A 27,035-nucleotide genomic window follows, 5' to 3' on the forward strand; every position below is an offset into this window, starting at 1 on the left:
TCCTGGGGACAGACACGAGTGTTGGTGCGCGCGACTGAAACGGGAGCAGAGCAGTTGAATGAGCTTCTTACGCTTTGCATGGTGCGCAGAATATCCCACCGATACCCAGAAATCCAGTAGAAATAGGGACGAGTGTTGCTGCGAAAGAGCCTTTTGCATTTGAAATGCATGTTAGGTTAACTGGAAAGGCGCCTGCCTCTTGTTTTGTTTCAGAAATACTGTTGGGAAAAGGATCCGATTTCTGCTCGGAGTGAAGGAAGTGGTCTCTGGAGAATTCCTAGGTCAAGGCTGGCATTTGCACCTTTTCATGGTCTTTCCCTGCACAGTCACTTCAGCGGCGGCGTCGCTGGGGCTGAGGCCGGGTGACTGCGGCTAGGCATGCGGATTTAGTTCCCCGCCTGTCATCTTTGTGGCTCCTTGTGGGGGAGGGGCGGGCGGTCTGACACAGTTATTAAACCTGGCAGCTGCGCTGGCGGCACTGAGGAGCATTTTGAGTGAGCTTGCAGAAAATGAGGGGCTTTCAGCTGGTCGCCTGCTTGTCACCTCTCGCTGCCTGAAAGGCAGCTCTCAGAGCCCTTTCCTGTCCTTCTAATTACAGCGGCGGGGGCAGTGCGCGCTTCGGGACGCAATTGGAAACGTGAGTATCTGTGTCCCCCGCGCTGCTGGCAGGCGGCTAGGCGCTTAAAGCTTCCAGACCGGTGGCGGGGACGGAAAGGCAGGGATAGGAGAGGCGGGCGCGCGTGCGGCGGGGCTGCGGGAGGGCCCCGAGACGCGCGTCGCCACGCCTCGTCTGGAGGTGGTGCGCGCTGGCGAGGAGGCGACAGCCCGGAAGGCTGCAGACGGGGGCGTTGAGTGCAGGGTTGCCAGCGCCGGGCTTGGAACCGCCCTATGCTTTGGGGATCCACACACAAAGGAAATAACCTTGGCCTAGGCAGCCAGGGCAGGCAGCCCCGTCCCGCCCCCGATCTTTCCGGCCCTTTTTGAAGATGGAGAGAAGGCGCGTTTTACGGTTGGCTCGAAACGAGATGAGGCCAGTGTTCCAGCCCGTGGGGACCTTTGTGCGCTGCGCAGTGGCGGCTGCGGCCGGTCCTGCAGGGACACGGGCGTGGCGGCGTCTCAGGGAGCGGCGCGCATCGCTGAGTCCGGGCCCCGGAGGGGGCGCGTCTGGGTTTCTTTGAGATCTCAGCGCCTTTGGGATTTCAGAGCCCTGCAGGCCTCAGTCTCTCGCCGCGCCCAGAACTCGTTTCTTCCTTCTCTTCGCACAAGGGGTTTAAGAGGGCAGACATGAAGTGAAAAGACCTCAATTCCCTCCTTTCTCCCCAAAATATGAGTGTGGGGGGTGTGGTTTTTTTTCCTTACTATAGATTGCTAAAAGGAATCTTGAAGTTCAACTCAGTTTTATATTTAATTCCAGACAAGGTTTTAATTTTACAGAGCTGGCATCATGCAAGGGTGTGTGTCTCTGTCGTTTACACATTTCTTAAAGAAACTCGGCCCTTCCCTAAAGGTTCCGAGGAGCGTTTCACAGAGTCACGTGGTTTCAGAACGTCCTGTTTAATGTTTCAAGTGCATTTCTGTGTTGATTTGGCTGAGGCCCAAATATGTGATACAGAGGCAGGCGGACCTGAAGTCTAACTACTGCAGTCTCTGAGGCTCAGGTTTCTTGATGTGGTGTCTGGCCTCCACGGTCAGGGGCTGATAGCCAATGGAAGACCTCACCTTCCCCAGAGGGGCTTACCAGAGCCAGGACCCTGTGTTGGGAGTGTGAGCAATGAACAGTGAACAACTACTTAAACTTTCCAGGTCTCCGTTTCCTCATCCATATAATGGGTGTAACAGGATAATATCAGATATCCATCAAAGTAATATCTAACTCCTAGCCTAAGAGATAGGCTACGATTTCTGCGTGTCTTCCATCTCCCACCAAGCAGCTTTTCTTTTAACCTGACATTGGAGGATTGGCTTAATGAGAGCAAGTAGAAAAGACAGAAAGACTACAAAGTGGAAAAATTAAAATATAATAATCCTCAGAAAAGTAGTAATCAGTATAGCTTAGAATTTGCCTAAAAATACACTAACCAATTGCTTGTACACACATGGTGTCCATATGGACACATATGGTCTCTTTAATTTTATTTATCAGGTTATGGCCCTGGGGAAAGATTGATGTCTGTCTGCCTCAAAAATAATGCTTGACATTTGGTGCTTAAATTTGCCCCAAATTGGCCAGGCACAGTGGCTCACGCCTGTATTCCCAGCACTTTGGGAGGCCGAGGCAGGCGGATTACCTGAGGTCAGGAGTTCAAGACCAGCCTGGCCAAAATGGTGAAACTCCGTCTCTACTGAAAATACAAAAAATAGCCAGGCGTAATGGTGGGCACCTGTAATCCCAGCTACTAGAGAGGCTGAGGCAGGGGAATTGTTTGAACCCAGGAGGCAGAGGTTGCAGTGAGCCGAGATCACACCATTGCACTCCAGCCTGGGCAACAGGGTGAGACTCCGTCTCAAAAAAAAAGAAAGAAAGAAAAAATGTGTCCCAAATTTTGGTTTTCCATCTCAGAGTGGGGTTTCTCAGATTTTTGCACATGAGTTTCTTGTTAATAAAAACCAGATGATGATTAAGTAGAAGTGTTGTTAAAAGAAATAAATGTGATTCTGAAATATTACATATGACATATCAAAACTAGAAATAAATACTTCTACTGAATTCTACTCTAGTAAAATAATGGTTAGGGTATTGTTCTTAATTTTGTCCACTGTACTTTAAAAAGAATATGCAGAAATTGGAGGGAAGGGGTTCAGAATGGGGAAATCAAATAATGAGGTGGAAAGAGGAGAGACTAAAAGAACCGAGGCTGTTTTAGGGAGAGAAGGTGGAGTGGCGACTTCGTTACTGTCAAATGTGTGAGGGGCTGAGAAGGATGGAGTAAGAGAAAACCAGATTTTGATTGGATATAATGAAAAACTTACAAAATGGCGAAAAAGTAAAATTAACCACCAAGAGGCGTCTAGAAGTGAACAATTTATCATCTGCCGTTCATGGCCCCAGCCCAGCCATTCTTTACCCTAGCTGCAGGCTAGAATCACCTGGGGACTTAAAAACTCCTCTGAACCTGGATCCTTCCCCAGACTCCAAGATTCTGACTTAACTGGTATAAGCCCAGGTATGGATATGTTCTAGGAGCTCCCTAGGCAAAACACTAGGTAGAGAAACGTTGGTCCATGCCTAAGAGGACAAAGTCTACCACTGCAGGGCCAGGCAGGGAGCATAGATATCCAAGGAGGGCCAGGACCTGCTGGGGTTCACTTGCTGAGGAGGCAGCTGTGAGCCACACTCAATGTTCTCCAGATCTTCTGATTTGCCAAGGGAAGCTGGAATTTTTGGTTTTTACATTTGTGAATATGACATCTCCAGATCTTTAGAGGTTGGCAACTAATTAAGGGTAAAGCATTTTAAAATGTTTCGTGCTTGCTGAACAAAACACCCCAGCCGAAGCTGGCCCCTCATCCAGATAGGCAACTGCAACCAGACTTTTGCCTTCTTTGTGGGTAACGGGTGTGAATGGGAGCTCTCCCGGGGCCTCTTCTAGCTTCAGTTTTATGATTTGATGCTTTCTTTTTAACCTGAAGAAACATCTCTTGGCCTCAGTCTTTTTAAAGGCATGTCATGTCTTCCTGGCCGAGTGTCTACCCCTCCATAGATCTCTCTGGATTGTTTGAATAAAGGAACGTTTCTAGTTCCCTAATCTTACCCTGGCTGTAAATTAAGGAGGCTGCCCCCTGGAGATTCTGAGACAGTGAGAATTCTAACCATTCTTAACCACGCCTGCCACCTCCCCCACATCCGCCACTCACAGCTCCCTTGCTCCCTCCACTGGTGATGTAGATGGGGTGAGTGGGGTTCAGGAGGCCTGGGAAGTGTCCTGAAGCTGCCTCCTGGTGCCCCATCTCTTGCAGGGGAGGGGAGGAGTATGGATTGATCATATATATAAGCTTATAAGCAGCACCATTGTTGAAGTATGATTCTTACAAATGAGACTCTAAAATTCCCAGTTCACTCATCTCTTGAATTTCCCTCTAGCCTCTCTAAGCCACACAAGCCACGGAGTATAGTATGTCTCCATCACCAAAGAGGAGCAATCGACACCTCTCTGCATAGACAAGACTATCTTGACCAGAGGTACAACAAATCCAGGCGGACTAGCACTGAGAGTTGACTGGATTCTCCCTGCCTCTCCCCTGTGGGTTAGGGCTGTTGTACTTTGGATGGTGGGGCCAGGTGGTGAAGTAACAGGAAGGCAGATCACCTGCCTCTCTAGCATTCCCCGCCCCTGCCTGCCCACCCTGCTGTAGTGCTAAGACCAGGGTGACACCTCTCTTCTTTCCCAATGATGAGGCACTGACAGCCTTCCAGGGTGGCAGAGAGACCTGTGTGTGCAAGGTGGCAGAGATGTGGCGCAGAAGAGATGGGCACTTACTCCAGTGCTGATACACAGAAGCCAGCTTTGTTCAAAACAGTGTTGTTTAGCAAGGTTGCACTGTATATAAATTAAATCAACATCCTTAAGCAGCTGCCTGTTTTCAGTTCCCACAGGCTAAGCAGGCAAAACCAGAGCGACTATGAGCAGGTGTCAGGTTCCCCTCCAAAGGTCACAAAAAAAGAAAAACCCCAAAGCCATGGCCATGCTGTCTCCAGTCCTTTTGCCAGCCTCTTGGTTCTCCAAAGTCAAATCTTTGGCTTGTGGTCCAAAGATTTCACTATCAATGAGAAGGTAAGGGGAGTTTTGAAGTTAGAATGTGTAAATGGCCCAGGGAAAAGGAAAGGAAGTAAGATCCAGCTGTTTGGTTGGATTCTGGTTGTCAAACACAGAAATATGTTTCTTGGAGGAGCAGAAGCCACATCAGCCCCAATTTTGAGTTGCCAAAACCATAGGCTCGGGCTGAGATGCTCTACCCTGGCATAATCTCTCTCCCTCTCTCTTAGTGACTGCGTAAAAAATGTGGTTGATTCTTTTCCTGGAATCATAGATTAGCACATTCCACTGCATTACCCTCTGCCCCCAGCTAGACCAGATCCTGAGGAGCAGGGGATGAATAGTGGGGTGCTCTGACACCCATTTAACAGTCTCACAGTGCCTTGCTTCGAGCCACTAAGCAGCCTCAAAGCTGTGCCCCAAAATGGGCTGCACACAAGGTTCTTCCTACGTGCTCCTTTCAGGCATGAGACCAACCTTGGGGATCAGTATTCCTGTCCTCTTTTCCAGGGCAGTGGTTAAATACCATCCACTGCTTTGCACTGGCACCTGGAATGTCAGGCTCTGACTATTTCTGGCTTGATAATGACAGGTTCCCTATGGAGAATTTTGGCCTATGAGCTTGTCAGCCAGGGTTTACACAGTCAGTTTGTGTTTTTTCTTGAGGTAGTTTACCCGGTTGCCTCTCTATTCTAGAGCTTTCCTGTTGGCTCTTTCTTTTTGACAAATTGACTACTTAACGGAAGATCTACTTAAGTGTGTCCAGGGACAGAGAGAGAAGGTAAAACCCCAGTCTATTGCTTTGAACCTTGTTGTGGTGGTAGCAGAAAAATCAACGAAGGGGAAATTTCATACTGTTGGCTAAAATGCAACTATTCAATTCATCCCTGTCCTGATCAATAATTCTTATTATATGAAATTAGTAAGAATATTAGGAAAGCTCAATTATGCAATCCTATGAACTATAATTGGTTTGTAAAAACAATTTCATTGGAAATTTTATTTAAAGTAGATTATTTTGATCATTGTATAGTGGCAAATCAAAAAGTAAATTCTCCTCCTAAGGTATAGTGATATGTAATGGGCAACAAAAATGCAGGAAACTTTAAATCTGTTAAATAATCACTCTTGTTCCTACTGAGAATGAAAAAAAGCAAAGGAAGCATGTGACAATTTTAAAACATTAGCTCTTGCCATCATGTTTAGAAGAAAGATTTGCACAATTAAAAAAAAACAGATAAAAAATAAAACAAAGACAGTGTCAGGTGGAGTGCTAGACTGGCTAATCAAATGCTGGGACAAGTGGTGCGGATAGCCTGTTCTACACCAAGGCTAGAAGAGGGGAAACTGATATTCTTGGACACAATCAGGTTATGAGTGCTGGCTCTAGGGCTTTGAGCGGTGATCTAGAACTGGAAAGGTAAGCCGAGAAGGTGGAAATACTTTTCACCTAAAGGCAAACAGCTTGAGCAGTGGCTCAAAAGGCTGCAGGAGCATGGATTTGGCAACTCATTTGATATGGGGAGAAAGAAGACAGGCTTTCTTCTTGGAGACCGGTGGTTGGGGTTTGTATTTCAAAGGTGTGTGACCTTGAGCAATTTGCTTAAGATGCAGTGTCTCAATTTTCTTATCTGTAAATGAACAACTGAGCCATTGCAGGTTGTTCTAAGGATTAAAGAAAATTGATATAAAGTGTCCGGCACTGTTCATTGCATACAGATGATTAGTCTGTGATGAGTATTTTTTTCAGGACAAAGACATAAAACGGAACTGTATCTTACTTCAATATCAGAATGAGGACTTTGAACTTGTTCTCAAGACCATACGAAGCCACCCTATGGTGGCTTTAGGAAGTGAAAGCATTTTTATACCACTTTACATTAGAAGTTCATTGAGTTTTTACAAAATCTTTTTTTTTTTTTTTTTTTTTTGTAGAGACAGTATCTTACTCTGTTGTTGAGGCTGGAGTGCAGTGACATGAACATAGGTCACTGCTGCTTGGTTCTGGACTCAAGTGATCCTCTCGTGTCAACCTCCCAAGTAGCTGGGACCACAAGTGTGCACTACCACACCCGGCTAATTTTTTTAAATTATTTTTTGAAGAGACAGGGTCTCGCCATATTGTTCATGCTGGTCTTGAACTCCTGGGCTCAAGCGATCCTCCAGCTTCAGCCTCCCAAAGTGCTAGGATTACAGGCATGAGCCACACCAGCCTAAAAATTCTTATATGACCATTTGAATCTCTGCTTAGATTTTTTTTCTTCTCTCTTGTGCTTGTAACTCAAACTTTAATACTTGAAAAGATTCATGAAAATTTGAATATACTTTTCTAAATCTGTAAGAAGACTGTCTCCCAAGATGGTTTGTCAGTAAACCATGTGGTTTATGGTCAGCATTGTGTTATCTCCAGCCTTTCTGAAGAGCTAACAGTAGCTCCGAGTTTAATTATGTAATAAGCTATGCCTACTATTTGATGCCACGAGAAATAAACTTTGAAAAAATTCAGTACTTGAAAATATTTATCAAATACGTAGGATCGTCTATTTCCATTAGTATATTATTCTTGAACATTTTCCCACAACCCATTATTTTTAGCTATTTTAAGTAAGAGTTACAACTTTGCTATGCTTTTGGTTTGGTGATGAGTAATGTTTCCATTGTTATATCTCTATTTTACAACTTCCCTGAACTGTTTAGTGCAATTTTTAGAATATGAGTCAGTTACAATCTTTACACTGCAGTTTTGAACCATCTTTTTATGACCTTCTAAGCGAAATATTTCTCTGAAAATTTCCCCTGCTTTCCCTCTCCCCTTTCCTTAATTCCCTTAAGTTAGTCTTTGTTAAGCATTATAATTGAGTAGAGTAAGCTGTGTTATCTAACACTTTTCTACTGCTTTTACAAGCACAAAGATGAATCGGAGATTCAACAAAGCTTCAAGGTTCTAGAAATAAGCGCTTTTGAGACAGGCGAGCAAAAATCACCAATCTCATTAGCTTCTCCAAAGGAAACAAATAAGTCTTGTGAGCTACTACTGGGATTTTTAGAGTTTTCCAGGCCTCATTTTAAAGAGATGGGGACTCACTGTGTTGTCCAGGCTGATCTTGAACTCCTGGCCTCAAGGCATCCTCCCACTTCAGCCTCCCAAAGTGCTGGGATTATAGGCATGAGCCACCATGCTGGCCATCTAGGCTTCAAGGGATGTTTGTTTGTTTGTTTGTTTGGAGACAAGGTTCCCACCCTGTTGCCCAAGCTGGAGTACAGTAATGTGATCATGGCTCACTGCAGCCTCAACCTCTCAGGCTCAAGCGATCCTTATACTTCAGCCTCCCAAGTAGCTGGGACTATAGGCATGCACCACCACACCTGGCTAATTTTTAAAATTTATTTTTTTCATAGAGACAAGGGTCTCTGTATGTTGCCCGGGGCTGATCTCAAACTCCTGGGCCGAAGTGATCTGAGCCTCCTGCTTTAGCCTCCCGAAGTGCTGCAGTTACAGGCGTGAGCCACCATGCCTGGCCAGGCTTCATTTTTAAAAAGGGGAGGGGAGGGTTGGGAGCTAGCTCTCTGGCTCACAAACAATAATGACTTCAATTTCTGTTCTTTCAATTGATTTTTATGTTTCCCTGGGAGGGAGAGGAAGACTAGGCATGCTCATCTTGCCAAAGTGATTAACTCTTCATTGGCCAGCCTCTTTGGACACCCATTTACTGCTCATTCTCTAGTATTCTAAGGAACAAAGATTTTGTTGTACTTTAAACTAAAATAGCTTGTTTGTTCTAAGAACGTAATACTAAATTTTGAGATGGAGACTGTATTTATACAGAAACACTTTGCAAGCAAATGTTTATAACCAGCCCCTACTGCTTTTACAAGCACAGAGATGAATCAAATATACACAAAAGCTTTGTGCTAGAAAGAACCTCCATGAATTGAACGTACGTGCTATATGGTAGGCATCATTCTTGTCACTGTGCATGCATGATCCCATTCAGCCTTAACAGTTATCCTATGAAAAGTTATTATCCTCGTTTTAGAGATGAGAAAACTGAGACTTAGAGAGATTGAGTACATTTGCAAAGTCGCTAGCTGTTAAAAAGCAGGTGCAGGAGTTGGAGTCATGTCTGTCTGAATTTAAAGCCGTTGCTTTTCCTGATATACTCTGCATATGACATGATGCACAGCAGAATCCTTGGGAATATTCTGCTCCCCTTGGAGTTCCCTGCTTAGTGAGTGCTTCGTGCTCAAAGAACTCTCACAGACAACGCTAGTACACTTATTAGTTTTCTTTGTATCCTTTGGTTCTCACAGGCCAACTGCTACAAGGCAGGTCCAACAAATTTCCTAGATGACTGAATATTGGGCAGTATTCCAAGGTGGTCAATTATGTCTAAGACTCACACAAAAGCATTAGCAAGGATTGCTCCATGGATCAAGAGCAAATCAATGTACAATTGTCCTCTGCAGCTAACTTATTAGGGAACATAAAGTTGCAATATTTCACTGGAAACTTCCATCCACTAGAAAAAAATGAGTGCTTAAGCAAATATGGCCAGACTCTGATTATGATTAAGCATAAACCTCCGAAATGAAATTCGTGTGTACATTCTCTCTGCGTGGGACCAATTTGGCCAGCTTACTTTAAGGAAAAGCTTTCTGTTGTCTGCATTCTTGCCAAATTTCTAAACTTTCAAGGGTAAGGACTGTAGTTTTAACTCTTTATTCTGGCATTTAGTCATTTAGCTTACTGCTTGGCATATAGTACATCTTCAAGAAATACTTGTTTGGATTGAGTGTATCAGGGTTCTCCAGAAAAACAGAACCAGTGGGAAATATATACATATAGATATATAGATGATATAGATATAGATGATATGGATATTGATATATACAGAGATTTATTATAAGGAATTGGCTCATATGATTATGGAGATAGACAAGTCCAATCTGTAGGATGGGGCAGCATGCTAGAGACCCAAGGAAAGCCAGAGTTCCAATTCCAAGGCCTTCAGTCAGAAAGAGCTGATGCTTCAGCTGAAGTCCACAGACCATCTGCTGGAAAGTTCTCTCTTACACAGGAAAGCATTCATCCTTTTGTTCTAGTGACACCTGCATTAGTTAAATAAGATCCACCCACATTATGGAGGGCAATCTTCTTTACTGATGAAAACGCTAATCTCAGGCAAAAAGACCCCCATAGAAATACCCAGAATAATGTTTGACCAAATATCTGGGCACTGCATGGCTCAGGCACATAGACACATAAAATTAGCCATTACAATGAGTGAATGAGTAAATAAGAAACAGTAGTTTCTGAACTGTGGCAGAGCAAGTGGACTTCAGGCATTGGCCTCTGTTGTAGCCTTGAGTTATACCACACCTCAGTAATAGGAAGAGCTCTTCTTTCCAGTGAGGCAGCACCAACAGACTATAGGGCTTGAACCCAAGATGCCACCTGAGGGGAATTCTCATGTGGCCACTTGTGTCCAAGTGATCAGTTACCACTGAATTATGTGAATTAAAGAAACAGGTTGGGACATGGACCATGCTCTCCAGAACTGAGGGTGAAAAGGGTGTCTTTCTAAGAGGTAAGATTTTTTGGAAGTGGAATCCTATCATGTAAGACCCTAGTTTTTCTAAGAATTTGTGGGAAAAAAATAACCTTTACCTGAGTGTATGTAGCCACATTTGACTGCTTTGTTTAGTTGATTTAATGCAACTCAGTGGTTACTGTAAATATCTGAAACTTGTAGATTATTGCTTCTCTAAAATTATAATGGGATCCATTTCTAGATTTACATCATTTTTTTTTCTTTGAGACAGGGTCTTGCTCTGTTGCCCAGGCTGGAGTGCAGGGGCGCAATCTTGGCCCACTACAGCCTCCAACTCCTGGGCTCAGGCAATCCTCCCATCTCAGCCTCCTGAGTATCTGGGACTACAGGCATGAGCCACCATGCCTGGCTAATTTATTAGTTTTGTAGAGATGAGGTCTCACTATGTTGTCCAGGCTGGTCTCAAACTCCTGGCCTCAAGCTATCTTCCTGCCTCAGCCTCCCAAAGTGCTGGAATTATAGGCATGAACCACTGCACCCAACCTAGATTTACATCTTTTTTTTTTTTTTTTTTTTTTTTGAGGCAGAGTCTTGTTCTGTCACCTAGGCTGGAGTGCAATGGCATGATCTCAGCTCACTGCAACCTCCGCTTCCCAGGTTTAAGCAATTTTCCTGCCTCAGCCTCCGGAGTAGCTGGGATTACAGGCGAGTGCCACCATGCCTGGCTAATTTTTGTGTGTTTAGTAGAGACAGGGTTTCACCAGGTTGGCCAGGCTGGTCTCGAACTCCTGACCTCAGGTGATCTGCCCGCCTCGGCCTCCCAGACTGTTGGGATTACAGGAATGAGCCACCGTGCTCAGCCGATTTACATCTTAAAACGTGCTGCAAACTAAAGAAGCCTAGGAAACATATCCCTGCTTTGTGATTTAAGCTGTATTTTTGTTATTCACATACAAATCCATTTTAGACTGTACCTTTTAAGACAATGTTGTGGGAAAACAAAAAAACTGTTATTAATGATATTAGCATTTTGCTCACTTGGCTTGGGACTGCACAGATTTCTTACTGTGGCAAGTTTTTGTTTATCTAATTTAGTTTATCTGTACAATTAAGCTAACTTCTCCCCGAAAAGAAGCAGTTCTCATATTCTAACTTTGTTTTAATAACTTTTTACTTATATAAACACATGTACTTATTGTTTTGTTTTGTTTTGTTTTGAGACAGGGTCTCCCTCTGTCACCCAAGCTGAAGTACAGTTGTGCAGCCATAGCTCACTGTAACCTTTAACTCCTGGCCTCAAGCAATCTTCCTAACTCAGTCTCCCAAAGTGCTGGGATTACATTTACAGGCATATACCACCATGCTCAGCTCACATGCACTTAATTTTTAAAAATAAGATGGTACTTTTAAAAGCTTATATCTAAATACAGCAGTCTCTTTTCTCCTTACTAAAAGAGGCTTCCTCCCTAAAGACAGCCCCTTTCAACATTCTTAGCCATTCTTCTGCTAGTTGCTTCCATGTTTCTAAAAATTGTCTTCTTTCTGCTATTTCTGTTACATTTTTCATTCTTTTATTCAAATAAGTAATATATTTACATAGTTCAACATTCAAGAAAAAAAAAGATAAAAACAATCAAAGTCTCTTTCCTACCCTGGTCCCCAGCCTCCCGAATTTTCTTTTGGCAGGCAACCAGTATTACCAGCCTCTCCCATATCCTTCCTGAAATGTCCTTGGATATACATATACTACTGATTATTGATAAATTTTTTGTATTATCTGTTGACTCTCACTTATAGTAGATGAGAACTTAGCTTTCTCTTCTACACTCTACTTTCTGTCTTTCCTTTCTTATGACTTACTTATAGTACAAGTCTTGATTACGTCTGTATTTATATTACTAGGACCATGTAAATATTGTCACTGCTGAGTCAAGTAGTTTACTATAGTTGTGTTTCCTTTCATAGGCTGGATTTTTTTTTGTTTTGTTTTATCCAGAGCTAATTATTACTTCATTTTTTTATACTAGATTTTCTATGGGTTTATTGTTAGTCTTCTTCAAATGGTCCAACAGATATGTCACGATTATTAAAGTTTTTTGTTTAATTCAAAACGTTCCCGACACTTTATGGGTTCCACTTCTCCACTCCCTCTGGGATTTTCCTCTCTTAGTTCTCAATCCCACCCCAATTTGGACTGGTTTTATTTCCGCCCCAAGATGCTATTGTTTGGGGCTTGCTTTTGTAATTCTTCTACATTAGATTCTCTTTTCCTAGAACCCCATATCTTTTCCTTGCTTGGTTTAATTCTGTTTTTCTGAAATAAATCCTCCAGTAGTTTCTTAAGAAAGGATACATTGAAGGTAATTTTTGAGCCCCTTGCTTTTTAGTTTTTAAATTTTTACTTATTTTGAGACAGGGTCTCACTCTGTTGCCCAGGCTGGAGTGTAGTGGCATGATCATGGCTCACTGCAGCCTCAACCTCCTGGGCTCAAGTGATCCTCCTGCCTCAGCCTCCCAAGTAACTGGGACTACGAACACATGCCACCATGCCTGGCTATTTTTGTTTGTTTGTTTATAGATATGGAGTCTCACTGTGTTGCCCAGGCTGGTCTCGAACTCCCGGGCTCAAGCCATCCTCCCATCTAAGCCTCCCAAAGTCTCAAAATTTATTTATTCTACCCCGACGCTTCTTAGTTTGGCTAGATATAGAATCCTCAGGTAAAAAATTATTTCTCTTCAGAATTTTGTAGGTGACTCCATGATTCTGTACCACTCTCCACTATGCCCTGTGTTCCTTCTAGTCTCTACCATTGCTGCTGGGTCCTCCATAGCCATCCTCACTCTCCTTTTCCTTCCTTATGAACTATTTTTTCTTACTGTGTATTCTCATATTTCATGGTGACTTGCCATGATTTGAGGGGTTTTTCTATTAATTATTTTGATTACTTGGCTCTTTTAAATATGGAAATGTATGCCTCTCATTTATGGGAAGATGTCTTCTATTTTTATCTTTGCTAATCTTCTTCCTTTTATTTTCTCTGTTCTCTCTTCTGGAACTCCAGTTGGCTGGAAACTGCACCACTTAGATTGATCCTCTAATTTTCTTATCTTTAATGCCGTTGAAATCTTTTCTTTTCAAACTTTCAATTTCCAAGGGCTCACTCCTTGTTCTTTTTTAAAAAAAAATCCTGTTCTTATTTCACGGATGCAATAGCTTTTTTTTGCTCTGAAGATACTAAATATAGTGAATTTAAAAAAACTTTTCTTCTACCCCTTGTATTGTTTCTTTGTCCTTTGAGTTCCTTTTTTCCATTTGTTTGTTTTTGTTTATTTGTTTCAGACTTCTTATTTTCACAAATGTCTAGTGATCTCTGACTGTCCATTCGTATTTAAGAGTGAGGTTCTATAACACTTGATTGGAGTCTTTGCGTGATTGATGGGTTTGGTAATTGGGACAAGACCTTTGTAGGGTGATCTGGCAGTAATCTAGGTTTTTCTTTGGGTGATCCCAAAAGGCAGTGCTGGAAGGATTTTCCCTCCCTCCCTCCCTTCCTTCCCTCCCTCCCTCTTTTCTTTTCCTTCCTTCCTTCCTTCCTTTTCTCTCTCTCTCTTTCTTTTTTTTTGGAGATGAGGTCTCACTCCACCACCCAGGCTGGAGTGCAGTGGCACAATCATAGCTCATTGCAACCTCACCCTCAACCTGGGCTCATGTGATCCTCCTGCATCTGCCTCCCTAGTAGGTGGGACTACAGAGGCTTATGCCACCATGCCCAGATGTATTTTTCTTTAATGGGACCATTTAGTTTCTTCTAAGACTAAGAAGCCTCCTAAGAATACTTCTGCTTTGGGTAAATAAAAGTGACTTCCACCATTCTAGGAGCATGAAATGGAACAGAATCTGGAATGCCTACCATTCAGTATACAGATTCACTTTAATCTCCAGCTTTCAGTTTGGTATGCTTCCACCTCCCGGGGGTCTGTCTGGAGACCTCAGATTAAATTTCTCCTCTTGAATAGAGGCTGTTAATTTTTCAGCATTTTACTTAACCACAGGGCTGTCAGGGTGTGTGTGGTAAAATTAGCCACATAATGATCTCAAGAGTATGGACCCTACAGCCAGAATGTTTGAGTTTAAATCCTGGCTGTGGTAGTTACTAGTTGCATGACCTTGGTCAAGTTCCCTAAGCCCTGCAGTTGGTGACTCCACACTAAAGGTGAATACCACAGTGTCCAGGGAGGTAAAGAACACATTTGGATTTTATTTCTTTTCTTCACGGTCTATTAGTTTTGTACTGTAAGAATGCTTTCTTTTATAACACATAACCAAACCAATGAAAGCACAAAGGAATACAATTGCACACATGATCTTGCCGCGAAGATGGTATGGTGTTTCCCACTGAAGTAATTCATTGTTCACAGAATTTGGCAATAAGAAAAGGAAAAAAGTCTCTAAACAAATAACCCATTGAAAAACATACCATGATTTGAGGATGACGCAATGGCAAATTGCAACATGGAAAGAAGTCCTGAATGAAAATTTTATATTACAAAAAGATCAAAAACTGTCCAACAAAATGGCAAAGAAACAATGTTTATTTTGAAGTCTTACTCAGTTTTCATGTTTGACTTTACTCTCGCAGTCTTACCAAGTTATTTATTTTCAGTTTACCACCATACTTAGAAATAGCATGGGATCTTTCTCAGCTCTTAATTCCCTTTGCCCCTGGGACAAGTATAAAACTATGGGGGTGCAGTGAATCCTACACCCTCCACAGTAACTGGAAGGAGAAAAACAATTGCCTGGAGAAAACTGCAGGAGAAAAGAGCGCAGACTTAGGTCAAACCTTCACAAACAGTGCCTAATTTAAAGGACACAGGCATGAGGTTCTGTCCACCAGTGGTCCTAGGCTTCCAGGGGTTGCTGAAAGTGATCCTGAATCCCTCTGCCCAGAATTTCTCTTCTGCAGACTTTCTGACTTGGAAGCACAGGAAATGGTAAAACACATAAGTGTTGGATAACATGAAATATAAAAACATGTACTTTATGAGGCTCATTTGCCAGTTTCTTTGCCATTAATTAATTCTTGGTTTATTTGTGATTTTTAAAAATAGAGAAAATGTAGCCAGCTACTTATAAGTAAACATTTTAAATAGGAAAAATTTACAAAGGTGTCTGTACAAGGATTTTTTTTTTTGCATTTGTTTATATTCATTTACCTACATTAGGGAATTGGTTAAATAAATTGTGCTACATTCATAAAATAGCATGCTATGCAACCACACACACACAAATGAGCATATAGAACTAAATATTTCTATAAGGAAAGTTATCCATGATATATTCTTGGTAAGAAGGCAAAATAAATAATAAATTACATAAATTGTTTTGTTTTAATAGGCACTGTTTTGATAATATGTTTTCCTAGGAAACCGTCTTGCATGATACTAAATTGTTAAGTAATGATTTCTCTGTGGTAGGATGTTATATGAATTTTTGCAAAGAGCATTTATTGCTTTGGAACTAGAGAAAAAAGTGACCAAAGATAGGCAGTGACCAAAGGCAGGCACTGGGAACCACAGAGTTAGATGAAAATGATCTTAATAACAACAAATTAGATAATCATGATTGCCTGGGATTAACACTGTAGAGACTTTAAGGGAAATAACTCGAAACATTTTTTTCATTTTCTCAAATAAAACCAGTTGGGTGAGGAGGCAAGGGAGTGTCAAAGAAGTTTTTCTGAAAAAAAAAAAAAATCAAAGAAAATCAATTGAGTAGGCTTAAAGATATAAAATAGTGTTTCTTAAATTAGGAAGTATATTTGTATATAGCAGTTGGTTTAATTGCATTTTTAGAAGTTCTCTAAGGCTGGGTGTATTGGCACTCACCTGTAATCCCAGCACTTTGGGAGGGACTACTTCAGCTTAGGAGTTCAAGACCAGCCTGAGCAATATAGCAAGACCCCGTCTCTACTAATCAATCAATCAATCAATAGCTGGGCATGTTGGCACATGCCTGTAGTCCCAGATACTCAGGAGGCTGAGGTGGGAGGATCACTTGAGCTTGAGAGGCCGAGGCTGCAGTGAGCTGATTGTACCACTGCACTCCCACCTGGATGACAGAGCGAGACTTATCTCAAAAAAAAAAGTCTTTAAAATACATTCTCATAGTGTTGATTCTTCTCAGCTCTAACCTAGCACTTATTCAAAATTCTTTAAGAGTTTCATTTGATTAAAAAATCCTTCCACAGTGGAGGCATCTTGTTCTCTTCAAGAACTTGATACATATTGAAGAGTGGAGAGGCTGTTACTTACGACACACTTGGGGCCAATATTTCAGGCAGAGTCTTGAAAGAAACTTTGCTGTGACTGACCTGCCTCAGAAAACTTAGACTCCCACACCATGCTTTAATGTACACATTGAACCTATCCAGTTTGCTTTATTTAACAGTTCCCTACGTTTGTTTTCTGGGAGACAGCAGGCTTAGTTATCAGATTATTCCAAGATAAACTGTGTAATATGCTCTTCTTATGATGATCTACCTTGGTATGTGACTTTTGATTTAATTTCACTTGCCTATTTGAGGTAGCATTTTTTTGACCTATCATTTTTCTGGCATATTTCAAGTTTTGTAAATATATACAACTGTATGTGTGTGTATATTGTATATATGAATGTATATGTATTTATATGATGTTTTACTAAAAAACAAAAAAAATTAAGCCATAGAATTTGTAAAGATTTTAATATTGATGAAAGCTCTCTGTGATTCTTCACTCTAACATTGACAAAAGAATCAACCTTGTGAAATATTCCTCCAGACTTGCACATAGTCTATAATTGGAATGTATTTGAATTTTCAAGATTTCCAAATGTCTACGTGTGGCATCTTTCCATGCCTAAATATGGGATACGTGAACCATGTTCATTTTCCTTTATAGCACAGCACTTCGTGTGAGTGAGGCGCGTGTCTCTCCACAATGGCCGTCTACACAATCAGGCACATTCTAACTTCATCCGCATCTAAAGAACAGATGTGCACTTGTGTGGCCATCCATGGAGGTATTCATGGCGCCTGCAGCTGGGATGTGGATGGTACATTTCAATCCACTGCATAGCAAAATACATGCTGAAGTGAATGGCCTGATTGTTGAGGATAACAGTGTTAGCCTTTTTACTGAAGAAGAAGGAGAAGGAGGAGGAAGAGGGGGAAAAGGGAGGTGGAGGAGAAGGAGAATGAAGGGTAAGAGACAAGACAAGGTTTAATCAACCTCAGTTATACAGTAACTTTCATTCTGATTGTAACAAACAAGTTAATCTACATTGACAAATTAGTTACCATCTCTATCACCACTTTTCAGTGAATATGAATATGTTCATTAGAATATGTTTTTAAACTAATCAATATAATTGTCTGGTATCCCTTGAACACTAGGAATGGCATGTTTAACCGGACCCCAGCCTGGTGAGCTTCAGGCTGATGGTGCAGGGCATTGTGGCTATAAAAGGGGTGGTATTGGGGGTGGCGGCAGGGAGCAGATTAGTTGCAAAGCATCTGCCGCATGGTTGCTTTTTAAAAAAATCCTGCAGTTATGCCACAGCAACCCCCAAACACAAGCTGGTTAGTACCACACAACTGCTTTTTGAATGCTGAGCACATTCACCCACAAGCTAAATTGTAGGCAAGCCCTGGAGCTTTTACTCCTCTTGGGAAATTTGCTGGGGATGAGGTGAGCCTGGGAAACCTACTCAGAGGCCCTGTATATGATGTCCAGATTGAACCCTATGCCAGGGAGCTCAGCCAGGGGGTAAAAACAGCTGTCCCTTTGCTCATCAAGCCCTTCACCCTGTTGAGGGCTATGTCAGCCCTGAGAAAGGGACACCTTTTTCTAATCACACAAAGGGCTACTGGTGGGCTGCCCAACTAGATGTGATGTTAGCTATAACCACTGACACCTGACCAGTAGACTTGGCAGGCACCAGGCTAAGACTATTATTATCTTACTTTACACTCATAACTACCATTAGCTGCTTTTTATAAATGAGGAAATGGAGATCTAGAAAAAGTAAGTGGCTTTCCCAAGATAGCTTTCATAGTCCCACCTTCCCTTTTTTAGTAAGGATGGGTTGCTAGCCTTAGGACCGAGGCTGTGGGACAGCAGGTCCCAAGAGTTCGTTGAATCAGCATATCCAGCATCTGGGAAGGGTCAGCGTTTTCCATGCCCAGGTGGCCAAATGTAAACTACTATAGATACTTATCCTGTACATATTTGATACTTGATCATGTCTGATGTAGCTCTGCACCCCTCACAAATCCTACCAGCACACTTTAACACAGCAAAGTTTCACTCAGTATGAATTGGGGCTAGACGTGGTGACTCACACCTGTAATCCCAGCAATCTGGGAGGCTGAGGCAGGCGGATCACCTGAGGTTGGGAGTTCCAGACCAGCCTGACCAACATGGTGAAACCCCGTCTCCACTAAAAATACAAAAATTAGCCAGGCATGGTGGCGGGTGCCTGTAATCCCAGCTACTTGGGAGGCTGAGGCAGAAGAATCACTTGAACCCAGGAGGCAGAGTTTGCAGTGAGCTGAGATCACATAATTTCACTCTAGCCTAGGCAACAGAGCGAGACTCCATCTCAAAAACACAAAACAAAACAAAAAAATATATATATATGAATTGGATTGGTTAATGGAAAAAAAAGATAGTACGTCCTGGTTTAAGGGCTTCAGTGACATTTAAAATATGTTTCTTTTGGAAAATTGGAAAATTACACAAAAGTAGAAAGAGCATGAAACCTCCATGAATCCAAATTCAGTGTCAACAGTTACCAACATTTTGCCAACCTTGTCCCTCCCCGCATCCCAGCTTTTTGCCATATTTTCGTTTTGGGGCTTTTTTTTTTTTTTCGCTAATGTATTTTAAAGCAAATCTCAGATATTTTGATTCACATGTCACTATGGATAACTAACAGATAAGGGTTTTTAAAAAGTAACCACCATGGAATTATTATACCTAATATTAACAATAATTTTTAAATATAATGTAATACCTAGACCATATTCAAATTGATTACCTCAAAGGTGTCTTTCTGCAGTTAGTTTGTGGAATCAGAATGGAAATTATGTGCACAGTGTATTTGGTTATGTCTCTTGTATTTTCTCTCATAGTTTCACCTCCCCTTTTATGATAGTAATTTTTTTTTTTTTAGAAACCACGGCATTTATTACAGTGATTTTTATTTTTATTTTTTATTTTTTGAGACAGAGTCTTGCTCTTTCACCCAGGCCGGAGTGCAGTGGTGCTATCTTGGCTCACTGCAAGCTCCACCTCCTGGGTTCACGCCATTCTCCTGCCTCAGCCTCCCGAGTAGCTGGGACTACAGGCGCCCGCCACCGCGCCCGGCTAATTTTTTGTATTTTTAGTAGAGATGGGGTTTCACCATGTTAGCCAGGATGGTCTCGATCTCCTGACCCCATGATCCGCCCGCCTTGGCCTCCCAAAGTGCTGGGATTACAGGCATGAGCCACTACACCCAGCCTATTACAGTGATTTTTAACTGACTCTGGAAACACTTCCTGGAAGGGAGTTGATGCTCAGTTTTCAGGAGATTTGGGAATTCTCGGTTAGATCATAATTGTTCATTCAGCGCAAATGTGTACTGAATGCCCACTGTGTGCCCACCCTCTGCCCAATGCCGGAGATACAGTGGTATCCCAGTGCCCTGTCTGCTGGAAAGTGATGAGTGGCCATAAAACAGGATAGGAACATAGAGAATAACCAGGATCAGGGGAGGGAGGTGGTGGCTTTAGAGGGGGTAGTTCGACAAGGACTGAAGCAGTAACATTTTGAGACCTCAGTAATGAAGATCTGGAGAGCAGTGTTCCAGGCAGAAGGAACAAGAGCTCAAGACAGAGACAGCAAAGAGCTCAGTGAGTTACAGCCAGAGAAACAAGCACACTGCATGAATGTGGGAGGTAGAAGGGCTCCTTGGGGCCACAACCCCAGGGGGTTGGGAAGAGAATGGATTTTAACCTGGGCACAGTGCAAAATGATTGATGTCATGTTATCACCCCTGATTTAACCAGGTTTCAAAAATTTCCTTACCAGCTAATGGCATGGGGATGTGGCTGGAGTCCAAAGTGACACCCTTCGGCCTGGGTTTAGGTGTCTCTAATCGCCCTCACCTGCACTTGTGCCATCGCACACTCAAGGCTTAGGGGTTGAGGAAGGAGTGCTGGAAGGGCCCAGAAGGCAGAGCACTGGTGTCTGCACTATCAGGTTCAAAGCCCAGAAAGGCCAGGCATGGAGTGGCTCACGCCTGTAATCCCAACGCTTTGGGGTCTGGAGGATTGCTTGAGGCCAAGAGTTTGAGACCAGCCTGGCCAACATGGTGAGCCCCTACCTCTATTTAAATTTTCTTAAATTAAAAAATAGACCAGACACAGTGGCTCACACCTGTAATCCCAGCACTTTGGGAGGCCGAGGGGGGTGGATTACGAGGTCAGGAGTTTGAGACCAGCCTGGCAACATGGTAAAACCCCATCTCTACTAAAAGTACAAACAATTAGCTGGGCGTGGTGGCGGGCGCCTGTGGTCCCAGCTACTTGGGAGGCTGAGGCAAGCAGAATCGCTTGAACCCGGGAGGCGGAGGTTGCAGTGAGCCGAGATCGCGCCATTGCACTCCAGCCTGGACGACAAGAGCAAAACTCCGTCTCAAAATAATAATAATAATAATAAGGCCGGACGTGGTGGCTCACACCTGCAATCCCTGCACTTTGGGAGGCCAAGACGGGTGGATCCCTGAGGTCAGGAGTTCAAGACCAGCCGGACCAACATGGAAAAACCCCATCACTACTAAAAATACAAAAATCAGCCGGGTGTGGTGGCACACGCCTGTGGTCCCAGCTACTCAGAAGGCTGAGGCAGAAGAATCGCTTGAACCTGGGAGGCAGAGGTTGCAGAGCCAAGATCGTGCCACTGCAGTCTATCCTGGGTGACAAAGTGAGACTGTCTCAAAATATAAGAATAATAATTAATAAATACATAAAAACAAAAGGAAATGCAAGCAACACATTCTCAAGGTGGCCACAGGAGGGACAGTAGCAGAAGCCCCAGGCCCCCGGGTGGGAATAGCCCTCGTGGGTGCCTGAAGTGCCCGATGGCAGAGATGACAGCACCGTTTTCAGTGGAAACCCTTGCATTGCCTATGGGTTTTATTTCTCCTTCTCCTTACACTTCTGGGGATTCTAAGTCAATGGCACTGCAGTTTGAAGATGTGGCAGTGCCATTGACTTAGAGTCACCAGAAGTGTAAGAACGGTGGCCCCCCCTGAAAGTGTGGCTGATGCATTCCATTTGCCAGGAAAGCCAGACCTTTCCATCCCTTCCCTCTTTCTTTCCTCTCCTGGTATAAGATCCAGGAATCAGTCCTGAGACTCAGGGTGAACAGAGAGAGAAGGACATAAGCACCTCCCAGGCCTCCCAGTACCCGCTGTTAGTGTGGGGGCTTCTCTGGCTCCTGGTCAGGCCCCCTGCCCCCACCGGGTGTGCAAAGGAGCAGGGCCTTTTTGCCCACAGATCAGACAGGCTGCCCTTTCCCAGGGCTGCGGCCAACCTGCCAGCACCAGGATTCTTCCAGAACAGTTTCCTGAGAGCAGGGCGGTGATTTCAGCAGCAATATACTCACCAATTATTCATCTCACTGAATTTCATTAGTTTAAAAAATTATGTTTCTCTTTATTATAAAGGCAGGCAATTGACTACTGCCTGAAGAATAAACTCAGTGACGCTAGAGAGAGCTCGGCAGTATGTGAATAAAAGGTCATTAACAAGCCTAGTTCTTGCCATAAAGACAGGTGAGAGGAAAATAAACTCTCAAGGATGAGTAAATCACATCTCCTCAGCCATCTTTATCAAATACATGGCAAGATTGCCACTGTATGTGAACAGAACACAAGTAACCGTTTAATGGCTGCTTCCATTCGGGAGGCTTAGATGATCCAAGTTCCCACATCTTTGTCAACTGGTGCAGTTTTTGTTGTTGTTGTTGTTTTGTTTTTGTTTTGTTTTGTTTTTTTTTGAGACAGAGTTTTGCTCCTATTGCCCAGGTTAAGGTGCAGTGGTGCAATCTCGGCTCGCTGCAACCTCCGCCTTCTGCCTTCCGGTTTCAAGCGATTCTCCTGCCTCAGCCTCCCAAGTCACTGGAATTACAGGCGTCTGCCACAATGCCCAGCTAATTATTTTTTTGTATTTTTAGTAGAGACAGGGTTTCACCATATTGGTCAGGCTGGTCTCGAACTGCTGACCTCGTGATCCACCCGCCTCGGCTTCCCAACGTGCTGGCATTACAGGCCTGAGCCACCGAGCCCGGCCCCAACTGGTGCAGTTTTTTTCCGGCGTATTGATTTCCTTGGGCAGTTATCGGAAGTGATGTGCACAGCCGGATATTCCCTATCCTTGAGCAATGCAAGAACTCTCACACTGCCGTGATGGTGGCCTTCACCGAGACTGGACTCTCAGAACTGGATTGGGAAACAGCGGGGGGAGGGGGTGCATGGCAGATCTAGGAAAACACACTCAGGAAGCTTCCATGGACAGGGCCTGGGTGGAGTTGAATAGCAGGAGGAAGGCGGATGGTGAATTTGGAAGAGTAAGGAGGTCAAAGTGGCAATAGGCTACATATGCAACATGATGTCTTTTTAATTTGGAGTTTTCTCCTCTTTCTTTTTACAAAATACTCTCTTAAAAAGTGATATCTGAGACATGACAATTAAGTATGTGATCCTGATTGGATCCTGGACTGGAAAGGACATTATTGGGATAATTGGTGAAGTTGGAATATGGACTATAGATTAGGTAACAGTGCTGTATTGTGAAAATTCCTGAATTTGATAACTGGTTATGTGGGAACTCTTAGGAAATACACATTAAGGTATTTCAGAGTAAAGGGGCCGCCGAGTGCTCTGGTATGCACCTGTAGTCTCATACTTAGGAGGCTGAGGCGAGAGAATCAGTGGGGCCCAGGAGTTTGAGGCTATAGTGCACCCTGATCGTGCGTGTGAATAGCCATTGCACTCCAGCCTGGGCAACATAGTGAGACTCCACCTCTAAAAAAAAAAACTTTTTTTTAAGAGTAAAGGGGCACGATATATGCACTTCACCCTAAGATGGTTAAAATTTTTATATGTATGTGTGAAGAGAAAGATATTAAGAATGATAAAGCATGGCTAGGCACAGTGGCTTCCACCTATAATTTTGGCACTTTGGGAGGTGGAGGCAGGCGGGTTACTTGAGCCCAGGAGTTTGAGACCAGCCTGAGCAACACAGTGCGACCTCATGTCTACAAAAAATAAAAAATTAGCCAAGTGCAGTGATGTGCACTTGTAATTCCAGCTACTAGGGAGGCTGAGGTGGGAGGATTGTTTGAGTCCAAAATGTTGAGGCTGCAGTGAGCTCTGGTTAAACTACTGCACTCCAGACTGGGCGACAGAGTGAGATCCTGTGTCAAAAAAAAAAAGGAATGATACAGCAAATGTGGCAAAATGTTAACAACAGGTAAATCTAAGTCAAGAGTATACCAGAGTTCTCTGTATTATTCTTGCAAATTTTCTATAGGTTTAAAATTATTTCCCAATAAGAAAAATTTCATGTGCTACTTATTGCTTATTTTTATTTTATTTTTGTGACAGAGTCTCACTCTGTTGCCCAGGCTGGAGTGCAGTGGCACAATTTCGGCTCACCACAACCTCCACCTCCCAGGTTCAAGAGATTCTCGAGCCTCAGCCTCCCAAGTAGCTGGGACCACAGGTGTGTGCCACCACACCTGGCTAATTTTTGAATTTTTAGTAGAGACAGGGTTTCACCATGTTGGCCAGGCTGGTCTCGAACTCCTGACCTCAGGAGATCCACCCGCCTCGGCTTCCCTAATTGCTGTGATTACAGGTGTGAGCCACCGCACCTAGCCTACATGCTATTTATTGTATTGGTTAAGACTTAATTCAGCTGTGACAGAAAACCCATGAAAATAGCTTAATCAAGAGTGAGGTTTACTTCTCTTCAAGTAGAAGGAATCTTCCAGATGAGCAGTCTAGTTCATAAAGTTTCCAGGTCTCAGCTGCATCTCTTTTGTTGTTGGAGAATCCCCAGCAACTGGCTTCCGCCTCAGGAGCTAGCATGGCTAAGTACCAGCCATTTCCTACATTCCAGCTGGCAGGAAGGGAAAGGCTTGAAGAAAATGGGGAAGGGAACAAAAGGGCTCCTGCTGGCTCTTGTCATAAGACGAGGTTCTCTGAAAGTTGTCACTCAGTATTTTCACGTACACCCCATTGGCAAAAATATAGTCTCATGACCACAGATAGCTGCACAGCAACCAGGAAATGAAGTCTTTATTCTGGGTATTCCTAGGCCCACTTAAAAAACAGGAGTCTGGCTGGGCGCAGTGGCTCATGCCTGTAATCCCAGCACTCTGGGAGGCCAAGGTGGGTGGATCAGGAGTTTGAGACCAGCCTGGCCAACATGGTGAAACCCCGTCTCTACTAAAAATACAAAAATTAGCCAGGCATGGTGGCACATGCCTGTAATCCCAGCTACTTGGGAGGCTGAGGCAGGAGAATCACTTGAACCTAGGAGACAGAGGCTGCAGTGAACTGAGATCATGCCACTTCACTCCAGCCTGGGCAACAGAGCAAGACTCCTTCTCCAAAAAAAAAAAAATCAGGAGTCCTAGAATATGGAAGAAAGGGAGAATGGATGGTGGCTCGCTCCTTCCTTCCTTCCTTCCTTCCTTCCTTCCTTCCTTCCTTCCTTCTTTCCCTCCCATCCTCCCTCCTTCCTTCCTCTACTTTCTTTCTCTTTCTCCCTTTCCTCTCTTCCTTGATGGAGTCTCGATCTTGTCACCCAGGCTGAAGTGCAGTGGGGCGGTCTTGGCTCACTGCAACCTCCACCTCCAGGACTCCAGTGATCCTTCCACCTCAGCCTAACGAGTAGGTGGGACTACAGGTGCACACCACCACGCCTGGCTAATTTTTGTATTTTTTGTAGAGATAGGATTTCAGCAGTTTGCCCAGACCACTCCCAAACTCCTGGGCTCAAGCAATCTGCACACCTCGGCCTCCCAAGGTGTTGGGATTACAGCTGTGAGCCACCGCACCTGGCCATGATTAGCAGTTTCTATCAAATCAAGTTCTCTTCAGAAGACAGTTTGGCTCCTGGCAGCCTCCATAAAATCTGGGACCCAAGAGCCCCACTGAGAGGTCAGGCTGGCCCTGTCTCGTAATGCAGCTCGGTTAGCACAGGGGCTGATGTGCAGGCTGTAGGTTCCGTAACCTCCTGCCATCTCAAGCATGCACCCCCAGCGCCCCAACCCCACGCCGAACTCTGTGGACTGTAGGAGATCCACTTGTCGATGACCAGTTACTGTACTTGAAGGTTAATCCCTCACGTGGCTTTTGTCTAAGAGAACAAACGATTAAAAAAGAAAACAAAACTGAAGAGAATACCTTGAGTCAGAATGAAGGCTCTTGTGCCTTCTGGCTGCCTCCTGTGCTTATAGTGAAACAGAAGTCACACTTATTTTGCAGTTTGAGAGAGGGTAAAAATGCCTGTTTTGTTGAAAAGCTCACTATGCTAGATAATAAACAGTGTTTTTGGTTCCTTGAGATGTTGGCTTTAAGGCAGGGGATAATACAGAATGACTCCTGGTCAAAAAAATTTGAGACTCATGCATCCTGTAGCCTTCTCTTAGAGATTCACAATGCACATTAATACTTTAAAGGCTCTGAGAGGCCCTCTGTTCCTGCAACTTTTCTGTAAGTTTAAAATTATTTCCCAATAAGAAAAATTTTATGTGCTATTTATTATATTAGTTAAGACTTAATGCAGCTGTCACAGAAAACACATGACAGTAGCTTAATCAAGAGTAAAATTTACTTCTCTTCAAGTAAAAGGAATCTGCCAGAAGTTTTCTGAAAGTTGTCAGGTCTCAAGCTCCAACACTTTGGGAGGCCAAGGTAGGAGGATGGCTTGAGCTCAGGAGTTTGAGACTAGCCTGGGCAACAAACACAGTGAGACCTCATCTCTACAAAAAATTTAAAAATTAGCCCAGGTATGGTGGCACTTACTTGTGGTCCCAGCTACTTGGGAGACTGAGGCTGGTGAAGGTCAAAGCTGCAGTGAGTCATGATCTCACCACTGCACTCCAGCCATTAATTAATTGTTAATTAATATCAAATATTAACAGTAATTTGTTAATAGCAATTTTGATATTAATACATTAATTTTATTTTTAAAATAAATAATGTTAAGTAAATACCTACTTAATAATAAAATTAATTTATTAATATTAATACTTAAATTTATGTTAAAATAAATTTTAAAGTATTTAATAAATTATTTTATTGATATTAAAATTAATATTTAATGTTAAATATTATTATTTGATTATTAATAAAATAAAAGCTCTGAGAAGTCCTGCAAAAAGATGTCTATTTAATTCACAGCCTCCCAGACTTATTTCCCCAACTTTTTTCCTCTGTTGCCACCTACCTGCTTCACTCCTGCAAGTAGGAGCCTCCCTTGGAAAATGCCGTACCAAGACACGCTTTTGGATCTTGAAGCCCGCACTGCACAGACTTTAGCTTTTATTCTGGAGCAGGGATTCTGGGTTCTGGGTATTTCACAGAACAGGCACTTAAGTCACTGTTTACGCATAATGACAAGATTTT

The 27,035-nt window shown here is 43.2% G+C and overlaps 1 protein-coding gene across 10 annotated transcripts in view, besides 1 other annotated feature; it reads left to right on the plus strand.

The window, feature by feature from the left end:
- Nucleotides 1–27,035, plus strand: part of TRIM2 (tripartite motif containing 2) — a 187,155-nt gene that overhangs the window by 471 nt on the left and 159,649 nt on the right. For 4 of the 10 annotated variants that reach the window (NM_001375515.1, XM_047449953.1, NM_001130067.2 and 1 more), the window contains exon 1: nt 445–637. The exons of the other annotated variants lie outside the window; for them this stretch is intronic. The gene's annotated coding sequence lies outside the window, so the exon portion shown is untranslated. Of the gene's footprint in view, nt 1–444; nt 638–27,035 lie in introns of those variants that run through there. 10 annotated transcript variants of the gene reach the window in all.
- Nucleotides 731–820: a silencer, noted in NCBI's record as "silent region_15755". NCBI's record gives its function as "represses an Ori minimal core promoter by ATAC-STARR-seq in GM12878 lymphoblastoid cells {active_cell/tissue: GM12878}" and the evidence as "EXISTENCE:reporter gene assay evidence [ECO:0000049][PMID:35858748]".

This window comes from Homo sapiens, chromosome 4, assembly GCF_000001405.40.
Source record: "Homo sapiens chromosome 4, GRCh38.p14 Primary Assembly".
In the NCBI taxonomy this organism is placed as follows: domain Eukaryota; kingdom Metazoa; phylum Chordata; class Mammalia; order Primates; family Hominidae; genus Homo; species Homo sapiens.